Genomic DNA, 15592 nt, shown 5'->3' with positions numbered 1-15592 from the left:
CCTCGCAGTTTCTTCTTAGTACAGGTTCATGTCTCAGAAGGGAGCCATGATGAGTCAGTTGTGAGAGTTCAGGGGGCCTAGATTGCTCTAGCCCTTTTAGTCCTTCTTACCTTACTGTGCACCCCTTGCATTTACCTAGTATTAAAGAATGGCAAAGCCCTGCCACTATTCTAAAATTGGCCAGCTGTTCATTCCAGCAAATAAATACATTGGCTGTTTAGGGCTGTCCCTTTCTCAGACCCATCAGATTTCACTCTTTTGCTGCCTTCTTTTTCTTACACAATGTAAGACTCTAATACAATGTAGTTCTTGTGGGTTTTGGTGGTTTGTCCTTATTAGCTTATATTTTAGGGTTTTTAGGACGGTCTGCCTAATTTAACTGTAAATGTTATCTGTGGTTTTTTTGGTTTTACTATCTTGTGCTGTCTCTATGTGAGGAGTCAGAGAAATTGAAAAATTGCCACTACTGCTTCTGTCTTCTTCTGACAAATAAAATTTTGATAATGCATGCAATTTCCTTTTGGGTTCAATGGAAACTAGAAGGAAATATGGTAGGCATTTAGGTTAAGCAAGAAAGGGAGGTCAAAGAATTAATAATGCTCATTCTTTTGCTTAAATAATTTTTTTTCCTTCTATGTCTTCGGTTTGATAAGAGTTCTACAGAGATGGAAGAATTTGTAATGATGAAGCAACAGCTCCAGGAGAAGGAAGAATTCATTAGCACTTTACAAGCCCAGCTCAGCCAGACACAGGCAGAGCAAGCTGCACAGGTAGGGACCTCACAAAATTAGGATAAAGAGCTATGAAGTCCAGTGGGTTATTACGCACAAGTCAATTCAGTGAGTCACTTTAAAAAATCCTAGTAGATAAAAGTATAGTAGCATGGGTGTTGCACTAGAAATTAGAAGGATATGTAGTAGAAGAGATTAGGAGATGTGTGGTAGGTAAGTGTGTCATTAGGGAACACCAGAAAACCTCACAATGTGTTATTTACCTTGATGAATTTTCTATAGCCTAATTGATGACTGTTTCTTAGTTCTGCATGTCCAGAAACTTAATTTTAATAGCAGACAGAGATTCAGTCTTTTGGGAATGGACTCATGCTGAGTTCAAAAGAGACCAATAAGTAAACCAAAAGAAATAAAAATAATTAGGTTCATTCTTTCCCAAAATAATATCTATCTTAATAGGAAATAAATTATAGTTAGATTACTTAGTGAGCCTGTAATGAGAAAGTGGTGTAGGTCATGTGATTTTATGTTAAATGGCACCAGTATGTGACATTCTTCTTCCCATTTTTTTCATCTGTCAAGACCAGACCATTTGGATTGGCATCCTCAACTTTTTCTATTTTTCTAGGTTTCTTGGTTGGCCACGCACTCCCACATATTTATTTTTGAAATTGGGTCTCACTCTGTTGCCCAAGCTGGAGTACAAGTGGTACAATCATAGCTCACTGCAGCCTCAGTCTCCTGGGCTCAAGCCATCCTCTCACTCACCTCAGCTTCCCAAGTAGCTGGGACTACAGGCATGTGCCACTGCATCTGGCTAAATTTTTTACATTTTTTGAAGAGACAGGTTCTCAATATGTTGCCCAGGCAGGCCTTGCACTCCTGAGTTCAAGTGATCCTCACACCTCGGCCTCCCAAAGTGCTGGGATTACAGGCACTGTAATTTTTTTTGGGGGGTGGGGGCAGCGGTGGGGGAATGCTTATGAATCATGAAAGATTTTTTTCCCTGAAGTACCTTTGTACATAGCTAATTATCCATTAGGTGTTTACTTTATTAATAATTTGTAGTATTAGTAGTGCCTTCTCTCTGTGGTTGGCCTACTGCTATGTATACAGTTAAAATTGTATATCCTGAAATTCTTGGTTTTACCTATTAGCTTTTATTGTGTCCTTTTTAAATTTTTTATTTATTTTTTATTGTGTCCTTTTTATGTATAAGCACTATATACAGTGCAGGATGAAGAAATACAAAATATGGTTTTTAACCTATGTGTTGCTAAAATATGGAAAGCCAAGATACATACATGTGTTAAGAGATTCATCGTAATTTAAGGCTTTCCGAATAAGTGCCAAAGCAAGCAGCAATACAAACAAAATATTTTGGAAGGCGAAAGAGGTTACTGTGAGTTTGACAGTTAAGGAAAATTACACGGAAAAGTTGGGATTTAGGCAAAACCATGATATATAGATAATATTCCAGACAAGCTGGGGGAGATATTTCAGTGATGGGGAACGGTGTGAGCAAAACTGCAGAGAAGGAAAAGAATATGGAACAGTTATGGGAAAGGAGTTAGAGATGTTTGGCTAATGAAAGACTCCAGTGCCTACACACTTGAAACACAAGAGTCCAAATTCCTAGTGAGGTCACAATTCAGATAATAAAAACATTCTGAGGATTTGTTTTTCTCCTACCAAAAAAGAAAGCCAAAGTTTGATTCAAGGTGTCACAAACTGAGATATCAGCAGTAAAGGACCAATGCAAAATAGGCAAGCTAACAGCTAAGCAGCATGCTCCACCATAGATCTTAAGGAGATGAATAAGCAGATGCACACACTCACAACCTAAAAACAAGACAGAAGCACTGATACTGAGCAGCTCACCATCAGTCCATTTATTTCCATTTCATTCTGTTCAGAGCCAGTTAAAAATGAGCATGATCTAGAAGGCTGCAAGTAATGACAGCTGAAAACAGCTGTCTGGGGAGGTGGTGTGGATTTAGAAGCACATGAGGTTCTTTGGTAGAAGCAATTCTTTGAAAATAAGACTAGAAAGATAGATTGGTATTTCCAGTTGTAGAGAATCTTGAATAAATGATATGTTAGTTTGAATTTTCATTTATAGGGCATGAGAATTTTACTGAAAGCTTTTCAGCCATGAGCAAGAAGTGTCCAGGGTTTAATAGAAATCTAACTTAACTTCACCTTATGTGTTTAATATCTTAATCTTTTTAGAACTTTAAAAAATACACTTCTTGTATATTTAAAACATTTCTAGTAACCATGAACATATAATTTTTGATCAAAATTTATGTTTAGGCTAACTTCTGAATTTGAAAATAGGCTTTCTCTCGCATTTCATAGTTACTGTCCAGCCTATCTCTCTTCCAACATCCTCATCCTTGACAATCAAAATTTCACTTTAAAAAGCTACTATCAAGTCTCAGTGTCTGTCTTGGAAAGTAGTCTGTGAGTTTTATTTGTGCAATATTCGGGGAGTGTAACTTGCATAGTTTCTCTGGTATGTGTCTTCAGTTGAGTTCCATGCAGCAGGTGGTCCGAGAGAAAGATGCCCGCTTTGAAACACAAGTTCGTCTTCATGAAGATGAGCTTCTTCAGTTAGTAACCCAGGCAGATGTGGAAACAGAGATGCAACAGGTGTGTTGCTAAAACTCGGTAGAATGACTGTCATTTTGGTTAATATTTAATCCATCACAGCCAATTTCCTACCCTTACCCACTGCTCTTCACTTGGTGTTAGTGTTTTCCTTATTGGCCTCTTTTGTGTCCTTGTCTTCTGTTGCATAAAAATTATTTATTTTTTCTTATCCTTTTCTTGCCTTTTACCCCTCTAATCAGGTTGTTGGTGCTCAAAAGCTGAGTTTAGTTGGTGAATTTATGTGGTAGTCAAAAATTGGTTTCTCTTCAGTTTTCTGATTATAGCTACCTTTGTGCATTACACACCTAACCCAAAGCTTCAAATCAATGAAGTCAGTTTTAAATATTTAAAAAATTAGAGAAGACAAAGAATGATTTTGAAGACATGAAGTCTTTTATTAGATCAGTAATTCTTTTTTAAAAAAATTTGAGTAGATTTTGAAAATTGGCTTCATTGTATTTGAGTTCACCATCTACTAACTCAAAGTATTTTATTTCACTTAGTGTGTAGTGCATTGTGGTACTGAAAGGCACTTCAGTGATACTTTATGTTTGATCTGTTTAATTAGATTGAAAATTAATTAGAATTAATTAGAACGGAAACTTTTAAGTTCTAAGCAATCTTTCAGAATGCACCACTAAATAAAGTTTTAGAATACAACATATTATTAAGTAGAATACTAATTGTATATGTGTATCATTGCTTTATTTATTCAACAATTTTTTTTCAAGTGCCTGCCCAGTGCATGAAACTAGGAGAAGAGAAATGATTCTTGCCTGCAGAGAATGTTCTCTTGGGTGGGTAAGATGTACATGTACCTATGCTATCTAGGTACAGGTTATTAACTGTATGATTTTGAAGGCAGATATGTGTTATTGTTTTTTCTAATTTTTAAAGAGACTCCCTAATTCAGGGACTTGCTTGTGTCTGGGTCTGGTTGTTGTTGGTGCTCTGGAGAAGACATTTTGGAGACTCTTCGTTGCTGCTGGATGGGGGGAGCATGGCATGCTGGTCTCCCACTCTTTAAACTGTCATTTTCAACACCCCAAAATTTAAGTATACAAATCTACATGACATTTTGAAAGATAAGCAAATACAAGCACTCATTTGTTAGCATATTATGTCTAAAATGTTTTCTTCTCAGAAATTGAGGGTGCTGCAAAGGAAGCTTGAGGAACACGAAGAATCCTTGGTGGGCCGTGCTCAGGTCGTTGACTTGCTGCAACAGGAGCTGACTGCTGCTGAGCAGAGAAACCAGGTACTGCCTTTTAATCTTTACTTCCTGCCTTGGAGGGTATTCATTTCCACTTTCGTTTGCCAGGCAGTAGATATAAAAGCCTATTTAAAGTCTTCAGAGAATTGATGCCATTTATTCATTCTTTCAACAAATACCTCGTACTTAAGTGGTGGGGATGCAGTACAATTATGAGCAAAACTAAATACAGTTCTTTCCCTCATGGAGCATACATTGCACTTCTTTATTGTTGCTCTTTCCCTTTGCCATTTTAGATCTAGGGTCCTAGTTTATCTAGAATGTCATACAGATTGAGTATGCCTAATCTGAAAATCCAAAATGCTGCAAAATCTGAAATTTTCTGAGCACCAACATGACACCACAAGTGGAAAATGCCACAACTGACCTTGTGGAACAGGGTAACAGATCAAAGGCAAATATGCACAAAATCATTTAAAATACTGTATAAAATTATCTTTAGGCTATGTGTATACGATGTATATGAAACAAATGAATTTCATGTTTAGACTTGCGTCCTATCCCAAGATATCCAAGATATTCCACCATCTGAAAAAAATGGAAAACTAAAATACTTCTGGTCCCAAGCATTTAGAATAAGGGATACTTGACCTGTATTATCCTTTAGTGAGTTTCTTTTTCATCAGTTACTCTTCTCTGTCTTGAATGGTTTTTGTGCTTTATGTACAGCCCATCTTTTCTTGTTTTTGTAAATTGACCTTCTGTTAGATTGAAATGATCTCGTTCTGCAATATTCTCTTGAGTATGAAGGTAATCAGTAATGCTGATCTGACTATAATCCATCCTGCCATTTTCTTTCTCATATTGTCCTGATCTTCATTCTCATTGAATTCCATTGAATTCCACTTTGCTTCTCTAGTATGTTAATTCTTCCTTACCCTTGCTCCTTTCTGTGTCCTATATGGACCCATGCTTGACAGTTTGAACTACCTTTTTTCTACCCCTTGGATTCCTTGTGTTCCTATCCTGTCACATCCAAGTAGTCTCATCATAATGCAGAATTGGTGCTATAGTCCACATTCTCTGTTTGTTTTTCTGGGTGCCTGTGTGCTGCTGGGGAGTCAGCCATCTCCTCTCTTCTTAATTTTCAACTCTCCTTCTTGAGAAGGGCTTTCTCTCTAGCATAGAAACATGTTCCCATTTTTTTCCATCCTATAAGAAAAAGCACTTTACAATGCTTGTTGAAATGAAATAATGTATTTATGGCTCATGAGACTTTGTCTTTTTTCTTAGATTCTCTCTCAGCAGTTACAGCAGATGGAAGCTGAGCATAATACTTTGAGGAACACTGTGGAAACAGAAAGAGAGGAGTCCAAGATTCTACTGGAAAAGATGGAACTTGAAGTGGCAGAGAGAAAATTATCCTTCCATAATCTGCAGGAAGAAATGCATCATCTTTTAGAACAGTTTGAGCAAGCAGGCCAAGCCCAGGCTGAACTAGAGTCTCGGTATAGTGCTTTGGAGCAGAAGCACAAAGCAGAAATGGAAGAGAAGACCTCTCATATTTTGAGTCTTCAAAAGACTGGACAAGAGCTGCAGTCTGCCTGTGATGCTCTAAAGGATCAAAATTCAAAGCTTCTCCAAGATAAGAATGAGCAAGCAGTTCAGTCAGCCCAGACCATTCAGCAACTGGAAGGTCAGTAGCTGATTGCTTTTGAAGTCCACATCTCTACCATCTGAGTGGCTTGTATTTCATATTTTCAGGGATCTGTTAATGAAATCTGTACTCAAACCAATTGAACCAATAGAAGGACTGAGAAAAACAGCTCTTCTGAACTTCTTGATGCATTTTTCTTGCCTCTGACTGGCTATAATCTTTCTTAATATTATAATTATCATTACAATACTAAAAATGTGATAGTGATGTTCCAGATATTAAATAGAATGCTATGTTAAATATGACTGATCTGAAGGATTCAATGACTGAAACGAGAAGGATTTGAATTAGTTTTTGGAAAACTCAGGCCAGATCTAGGTGCATAGGTTAGGAGACTAAATTGCATGGAGTTATCCATAAATCTGAAGAAGGATGGATCTCAGTGCTTTTCTTATAGGTGAAAATCTCTTTTCACCTGATTTCTTGTCTTACAGGTGAAAATTTATCCTTTATGAAGGTATAAAGGAAACTTTTAAAAAATGTGTTATTATAAAAGTAATATGTGCCTATAAAAAATTGAACATTTTAGAACTTTATAAATTAAAAAGTGAAACTTCCTCAACACCAATACTCCATCTCACCAATCCTCTTCCCCAAATTATAACCTTTACTAATATATTGACATAGACATAAAGGAAAGATTTTAGAAACAATTAAGTTGAAAATTTGTATTGAATAACTGAATGTTAGCCAGACAGTTTTGTTTTTTGTTTTTTTTTTTTTGTGACAGAGTTTCACTCTTGTTGCCCAGGATGGAGTGCAATGGCATGATCTCGGCTCACTGCAACCTCTGCCTCCTGGGTTCAAGTGATTCTCCTGCCTCAGCCTCCCAAGTAGCTTGGATTACAGGCATGCACCACCACACCTGGCTAATTTTGTATTTTTAGTAGAGACAGGGCTTCTCCGTGTTGGTCAGGCTGGTCTCGAACTCCTGACCTCAGGTGATCTGCCCGCCTCGGCATCCCAAAGTGCTGGGATTACAGGCGTGAGCCATTGTGCCCTAGCCAGACAGTTTTGAAGGGCATCACACAAGACCAGGGTGTTACATGAGCAAGCTGTTCTCTTAAGCATGCTGATGTTTAAAACCATGTGGTGGAATCTTGGTGGGATCCATAATACCTAAGTCGAGAGTGAAGAAAACAAAAACCCTAAAGCCATTTTCAAGGGGGAAAGGGAAAATGAACTTGTAAAAAATGCCTAGGGCTAGGCCTCCCCACGCCTGCTATTCCAGCACTTTGGGGAGGTCAAGGTGGGGGGGATTACCTGAGGTCAGGAGTTCGAGACCAGCCTGGCCAACATGGTGAAACTCCATCTCTACTAAAGATACAAAAAAAAAAAAAAAAAAATTAGCCAGGCATGGTGACGCATGCCTGTAATCCTGGCTACTTGGAAGGCTGAGGCAAGAGAATCCTTGAACCCATGAGTCAGAGGTTACAGTGAGCCGAGATCGCACCACTGCACTCCAGCTTAGGCAACAGAGGGAGACTCCGTATCAAAAAAAAAAAAAAAAAGTGCCTAGGCCTATTTTATTTTACTTTTGAAGGAAGTGATTTACTGAGGTGTCCTTTGGTTCTTGAGAACATTTAACATTTAGCTAATAATAATGTTGTCATTGGCATCATAATTTTAACTAAGGAAACTAAACTAGTAAACAGCATACAGTGTATCTTTAGAAGATAATAATAACTACATTTCAGACTTGAAGCAAATATTACATTTATTTTTTTTCTTTTCCTTAGATCAGCTCCAGCAAAAATCCAAAGAAATTAGCCAATTTCTAAATAGACTGCCCTTGCAACAACATGAAACAGCATCTCAGACTTCTTTCCCAGATGTTTATAATGAGGGCACACAGGTAATTAAATGTGAACTTCTTATGAATATTAACTGTTTGTCTTTGCTGTATCTGTACTTCGGTGCTCTAATGAGGATTTATTCCAGAGAGCTATATAAACCTTCTGTTTTTTCTGCCTGAAAAAATACTTTTTTGAGGACAATTCTATTTGAAAGGAATCATGAAAGGCATTAATGCAGTGTTTCAACAATAAAGAATGAGAAAATAATAGATAACAAATACCATGGTCTCAGAAGCCTTTCTGATTCTAAGGTCTTAACAATTTGTATCGGAGATGAATCATTACTTTTGCTTCTGTAGTTAATTTTCCCAGTTCGGAAGTCTTTTTTTTTTTTGGTAAACTAAGATTTGATCAGGTTTAGTGAACACGAGTCAGTCTAATCAAACTTAAAAGTCTACTATGGAAATCATATTGTTCCCATTAATTAATTAACAGTAAAAAAGTATATAATGGCCAAGTAGCTTCTTATTGGCCAGTATATTCTTTCTTTCATCTACAAAAATCTCTGTAGAGAGCTAGATTGTAATCATCGAAGGCTGATTCAGGCTGATTGAGCCTGAATATCAGAATGAAGGCAGTTAGTTTGATGTTCTTAATTGACTAATGTCAAGTTGAGATAACTAGATTCAGTCATCTCCATTGTAAGATTATACCCTTCCAAACTCACAAACATATTGGTCAGCAGAGTCCTGTCATTCCTGGGCTATGCTGTCCACTGATAAAAATTTTTGCCTCTTGGTTTCTAGCATCTAGGCTTTCCAGTCTCTTCTGTTCTCCCATTCTCGACTTTTTCCTCCAATGTTTTGTTAAGACGTTTTCCAACCATTCGAATAAGTTGCAAGAGTTTTGTAGCGAACATCTGTATACCCACCATCTGAATTCTATCATTAACATTTTAGCACGTTTGCTTTATCAAATGTCTATCTATTTATTCATCCCTCTGCCCATCCATCAGTTCATCTTAAATTTATAATACATTTCACTGTAAGTTGTGGACATCAGTACATTTCTCTCTAAATTTGTCAGCATTCATATCATTGACTATATTTTAATATTTATTTATAATTGTTCTTTTTCTTTTGAGGTAAGATTTACAAACCTTTAAATGCACAGATCTGAAGTATACCATTCCTTGAGTTTTGTCAAATGCATACACCTGTGTTACCCAAACTCCTATTCAAGATATATCACATTACCATCACCTCACAAAGTATCCCTATACCCCTTTACAGTCATCCTCACCCTTCCCCTCCAAAGACAACTACTGATTTTTCACCATAGATTAATTTTGCCTGTTTCACAGCATCATATACATTTAACCATACAATAGGTCCTCTTATGTGTAAAGCTTTTACTCAGCATATTTGGAGATTCATCCATATTGTGCATGTATTATAATTTAATCTTTAATATTGCTGAGAAGTATTTTATTTTATGAACATGCTGAATTTTCCTTTTGCATGATTGTACTGCATTTTCCTATTGATGGACACCTGGACTTTTTCATGCTTTGGCTATTATGAATCAAACTGCTGTGAACATTCTCATACAAATAGTTATGTGGACATATGTTTTCATTTATCTTCAGTAAATACTAGTTGAGGAATTGCTTTGCTGGGTCATAGAGTACCTATGTATTTAGCTTTATAAGGAACTGCCAGGTCTTTTCCCAAAGTGGTTGTACTATTTTTTTTTTCCAAGACGGAGTCTTGGTCTGTCGCCCATGCTGGAGAACAGTGGTGCGATCTCGGCTCACTGCAACCTCGACCTCCCGGGTTCAGGCAATTCTCCTGCCTCAGCCTCCCAAGTAGCTGGGATTACAGGTACCCGCCACCACACCCGGCTAATTTTTGTATTTTTAGTAGAGACAGGGTTTCACCATGTTGGCCAGGCTGGTCTCAAACTCCTGACCTCGTGATCCGCCCACCTCGGCCTCCCAAAGTGCTGGGATTACAGGCATGAGCCACCGCACCTGGCTGTGGTTGTACTATTTTATACTCCCACCTAAAATATATGAGAGTTCCATTTGTTCCACATCTTCTCCAAGATTTGGTGGTGTCAGTTTTAAAACATTTTAGCCATTCTAATGGGTATGTAGTGGTATTTCATTGTGGTTTAAATTTGCATTTCCCTGATGACAAATTATGTTGAACTTTTTTTCTTGAGATTCTTAGCCATATGTACACCTTCTGTTGGTGAAGTGTCTGTTCACATCATTTCCCCATTCTTAAATTTGAGTTGTCTTTTTATTATCAAGTAGGAATTCTTTATATATTCTGAATGCCAATCTATTATCATATATGTTTGGTGAATATTTTCTCCCATGCTGTGGCTTTGTGGCTTGCCTATTCATTTTCATTATGATATCTTTTCATTAGCACACACTTTTAAATTTTGATGAGCTTAATTATTTATCATTTTTTATTGTTTTTTTTTTCTGTGTCCTGTCTGTGAAACCTTTGCTTAGCCCCAGTTTATGAAGATATTCTCTTATGCTTTCTTCCACAAGCTTTATGGTTTTAGTTTTCATTTGAAGTCTCTGAATCTCAAATGAATTTTTGTGTGTGTTGTAAGGTGAAGGTCAAGTTGTTTTGTTTTTTCCTGTACGGATATTTCGTTGTTTCAGCACCATTTCGTAAGGAGACTTTACTTTCCTCATTGGATTCTTTTGGTACCTTTGTTGCAAATCAAAGACTAATACATCTATTTCTGAATTTTCTGTTCTGTTATATTGATCTATCTGTCAGTCCCTATGCCAGTATCACGGTCTTCATTATTGTAGTTTGTTGTTAGTCTTGAAGTCAAGTATTAATAGTATAAGTCCTCCAACTTTGTTCTTCTTTTCAAGATTGCTTTGACTATTCCAGGTCCTTTCCACATAAATTATACAATCAGCTTCTCAAATTCTACTTTTTAAAAAAAGACAGATGAGATTTTGAATTGGTATTGTGTGGAGTCTATTGATCAGTTTAAGAATTGACAACACTACTGTACTTTTAAATCTACGAATATAGTATATCTCTCCATTTATTTAGATCTTTAATTTCTTTCAGCAGTGTTTTGTAGTTTTCATTGGAGAAATTATGCACATTATAACATTTATTCTGAAGTAGTTAATATTTTTGATACTATTATAGATGGAATTATTTTTATTTCATTTTCCAATGTATGCTAATATGTAAGTATACAACTGAATTTTATTAAGCTTATATTCTGTGACCTTGATAAACAAATTAATTTTATTGGTTTTAGTCTCTTTTTGTAGATTCTCTAGGATTTTCTATGTAAGCAATCATGTCATCTGAAAATAAAGACAAATTTTACTTCTTTCTAATTTTTATGCCTCCAGTACACTGTTTAATAGAAGTGGTGAGACTGGACTTTCTTGCATTGTTTCTAATCTAAGAGGAAAGTGTTCCATAATTTACCATTGGCTGTGATACTAGTTTTAGGTTTTTAAGGAATTTCCTCTATCAGATCATCCTCAATCTTGTAGAGGAATTTTTCTCTTAGTTTTTTTGATATTTCTTAATTTTTTCTTAATTTTTAAAATAAACTTTCTCTTAATTTTTTTTTTATATTTCTAGGCTATGTGATTCTTCTATGAGTAATAACAAATGTCTAGTTGTAGCAATCCTCCTAAAAATTTTTCTATTTATTTATTTTTTGAGATGGAGTTTCACTGTTGCCCATGCTGGAGTGCAGTGGTGTGATCTCAGCTCACTGCAGCCTCCATTTCCCAGGTTCAAGTGATTCTCCTGCCTCAGCCTCCCAGGTAGTTGGGACTACAGGTGTCCACCAACACCCCCGGCTAATTTTTGTTACTTTTAGTAGAGACAGGGTTTTGCCATGTTGGCCAGGCTGGTCTGAAACTCCTAACCATACCTCCTAACCATTGGTGATCTACCCGTCTTGGCCTCCCAAAGTGCTGACATTACAGGCGTGAGCCACTGCGCCTGGCCTTTTTTTTTTCTTTTTTTAAAATTTTACTTATTTTTTTGTTTTGAGACAGAGTCACTCCATCACCCAGGCTGGGGTGTAGTGGTGTGATGACAGCTCACTGCAGCCTCAACCTCCTGGGCTTAAGTGATCCTCCCGCCTCAGCCTCCTAAGTAGTTGGGACTACAGGCACATGCCACCATGCCCGGCTATTTTTATGTGTTTGTTTGTTTGTTTATTTATTGGTGGAAATGGAATTTCATCATGTTGCCCAGGCTGGTACAGAACTTCTGGACTCAAGCAATCCCCCTCCCTTGGCCTCCCAAAATGCTGGAATTATAGGCATGAGCCACCACACCCAACCCCAATACATTTGTTGAAAAAAATGTGCATATATAAGTGAACTCATGTAGTTCAAACCCATATTCAAGAGTTAACTGTATTATCCTTTTTCTATAGTACTGAATTTGATTTGCTAATATTTTGTGAAGGATTTTTGTGTTCTTATTTATGAAGGATATTAGTCTACAGTTTTCTTGTTTTATGATATCTTTATCAGGTTTTGGTATTAAGGGTATGGCAGCCTCATAATATGTTCCCTTTTCTATTTTCTGGGAGTGTTTCCTTTCTTTCTATTTTATGAGAGTTTGTATGTGATTGGTATTATTTCGGTTTTTGAAAATAATTTTTTAAATACTTTTTTTTAAAAGAATTCACCAATGAAACCATCTGAGTCTGGAGTTTTAGGAAGGTTTTGATAATGAATTGAATTTCCTTTACAGATATAAGGCTAATAATAAGATTTTTTTTTTTTTTTCCACCCGGTGCCAGTTTTGGTTTGTTTGGGCTTTTTTTTTTTTTCCTGGGGTTTTGTCTATTTCATTGAAGATGTTCTAATGTTCTATTTTTGTCATAATGTTGGTTACAATGTTTACTTTTTATCCTTTTAATGCCTGTAAGCGCTGATCCCTGCTGTTGTTAATTTGTGCTTCATTTTCTTCATCAGTCTATCTAGAATTTATTCAGCTTTTTTCCCCCATCTTTTCAAAGAACCACTTTTGGTCTTGTTAATTTTCTCTGTTGCTGATTATTTTCATTTTCATTGATTTCTACTCTTTAGTATTTCTTTCTGCTTACTTGGATTTACTTTGCTCTTCTTTTTATAGCTTCTTAAGGTGAAACTTTGTATCAAAGATTTCAAGTCTTCTTTTCTCATATGAACATTTAAAGTTAACACAGTTCCCTCTAAGCATAGCTTGTTATGTTGTGGTTTTTTAATCATTTCAGTTTTTGAACATTTTTCTAAGTTTCTCTGTGATTTTTTCATTGACCATGGATTGTTTAGAAGTGTGTTCTAAATAAACACGTTGTTGTAGAATATCCAGATACTTGGTTTTATTTCTAGATATCTTATTGATTTCTAATATAATTTCATTATGATCAGAGAATATGTTTTATGTGACTTCAATCCTTTGAAATTTATTGAGACCTATTTTATGACACAGCATATGGTGTCTTGGTGAACATACCTTGTACACTTGTAAATAGTGTGTATTCTGTAGTTATTGGATGTAATGTTCTACAAATAGCACTTAGATCATAGTATTGTTCACGTTATCTTTGTCTTTGACTTTTGTCTGGTTATTGAAACATTTGCTAAGAGGGGGTTGAAATCTCCAACTATGACTGTGGAATTGTCTGTTTCTCCTTTTAATGTAGTCATTTTTTGCTTCTTGGTAATTGGAATCTCTGTTATTAGTACATACACATTTATTTTTCAGATAAAGTGTTCCTTTTTTCACTTACAAAATGTTACTCTATCTGTAGTAATACTTCTTTATTTACATTTCTCTGTATCTGGCATTAATAAAATAATTCTGTCTTATGTTTATTGCTTGAATGGTATATTCTTTTCTATCCTTTTACTTTTAACTTGTTTTTCTTTAAAGTAAATGTCTTGAAGGCAACATATAGTTGGGTTATACTTTTTTATTTCTTCTCTTCTTTGTGATTGGAGTGCCTAGTCCTTTTAATGTAATTATTGATGTGATTGGATTTAGGTCTACCATTTTGCTTTCTGTTTTTTCCCCTCTGTTTTCCCTTCTTCTTTTTTCCTGCCTTCTATTCGATAATTAGAAGTTTCTTGAATTTAATTTTCATTTATTGACAACTTTTTCTTTTAAACAGCTCTATTAAGTATAAAAAGGTATACTTGACATACAGTAATGTGTACACATTTAAAGTATACAGTTTAAAGAGGGTTTTGTGTGTTTGTTCATTTGTTTTTTGAAACAGGGTCTTGTTCTCTCACCCAGGCTGGAGTGCAGTCACATGATCACAGCTCACTATAGCCTTAACTTCCTGGGCTCAAGCAATCCTCTCACCTCAGCCTCCTGAATAGCTGGGACCACAGGCATGTGCCACCATGCCTGGCAAATTTTTTTTTTTGTAGAGACAAGGTCTCACTATGTTGCCCAGGCTGGCCTCAAACTAACTCCTGGGCTCAAGTGATCCTCCTGCCTTTGTCTCCCGAAGTGCTGGGATTACAGGTATAAGCCATAGCACCCAGAACAATTTGATGACATATAAAACCATCACTACTATCAAGAAAATGAACATATTCATCATCTCTAGAAGTTTTTTCATGTCCTCTTTTAATCTTTTCCCTCACATCTTTCCCTACCTAGACAACCACTGATCTGCTTTCTGTCATTATAGATTTTTAAAAAGTTTATATAAGTTGTATATGCACTTTTGTTGGCTTATTTTACTCAGCATACTTATTTGAGATTCATCCTAATGTTTGTTTAGTAATAATTCATTCCATTGTATTGTTGAGTATGTTGTAAACAGCACAATTTGTGTAACCATTGACTCATTGATGGATAATTTGGGTTGTGGACAGTTTTTGGCTAATACATATAAAGCATTTATGTTTATGTTTTAAGGAGATTAAAATAAGAAAATAAATCTTAACTACCATTGCAGTTACCATTTCTGGTACTTTTCATTCTTCGTTTGTAGATCAGAGATTGCCAATCCTTTTATGTATAGTAAATATTTTAGGCTTTGTGGGTCATACAGTCTTTGTTGCAGGTACTCAACTCTGCCATTGTAAAGTGAGAACAGACATAGAGCCAAGGTAAACAAATGGTTGTGGTTATGTTCCAATAAAACTTTATTTATGCAGGCCTCCAAAGTTTGCCAAACCCTGGCTTCATATTTCCATCTGGTATCATTTTTCTTCTATCTGAAGGACTTTTTTTTTTTCTTTTTTTTTTTTAGTAAGAGACAGGTTCTCATTTTGTCACCCAGGCTACAGTGCAGTGGCATGATCATGGCTCACTGCAGCCTCATCCTCCTGGGCTCAAGCGATTCTTCCATATTTGCCTCCAGAGTAGCTGTGACTACAGGCATGCACCATGCTACCCAGCTAATTTTTTTTTTTTTTGCTTTTAGTAGAGATGAGGTCTTGCTAAGT

General features: G+C 36.1%; 1 protein-coding gene across 28 annotated transcripts in view; it reads left to right on the top strand.

Annotated features, from left to right (window-relative positions):
• GOLGB1 (golgin B1) overlaps positions 1–15592 on the top strand; it is an 86766-nt gene that overhangs the window by 26935 nt on the left and 44239 nt on the right. For 8 of the 28 annotated variants that reach the window (XM_011512699.4, NM_001366282.2, NM_001256486.2 and 5 more), the window contains 5 exons: positions 654–770; positions 3264–3386; positions 4531–4644; positions 5893–6295; positions 8056–8171. In XM_011512699.4, coding sequence (XP_011511001.1) covers positions 654–770; positions 3264–3386; positions 4531–4644; positions 5893–6295; positions 8056–8171 — 873 coding nt within the window. The other 20 variants (XM_047447992.1, NM_001366283.2, XM_005247373.3 and 17 more) reach the window with 5 other exon arrangements.

This window comes from Homo sapiens, chromosome 3, assembly GCF_000001405.40.
Source record: "Homo sapiens chromosome 3, GRCh38.p14 Primary Assembly".
Classification (NCBI taxonomy): Eukaryota; Metazoa; Chordata; class Mammalia; order Primates; family Hominidae; genus Homo; species Homo sapiens.
Note: the sequence above shows the minus strand (reverse complement) of the source record. Positions and strands in the feature narration are given on the sequence as shown.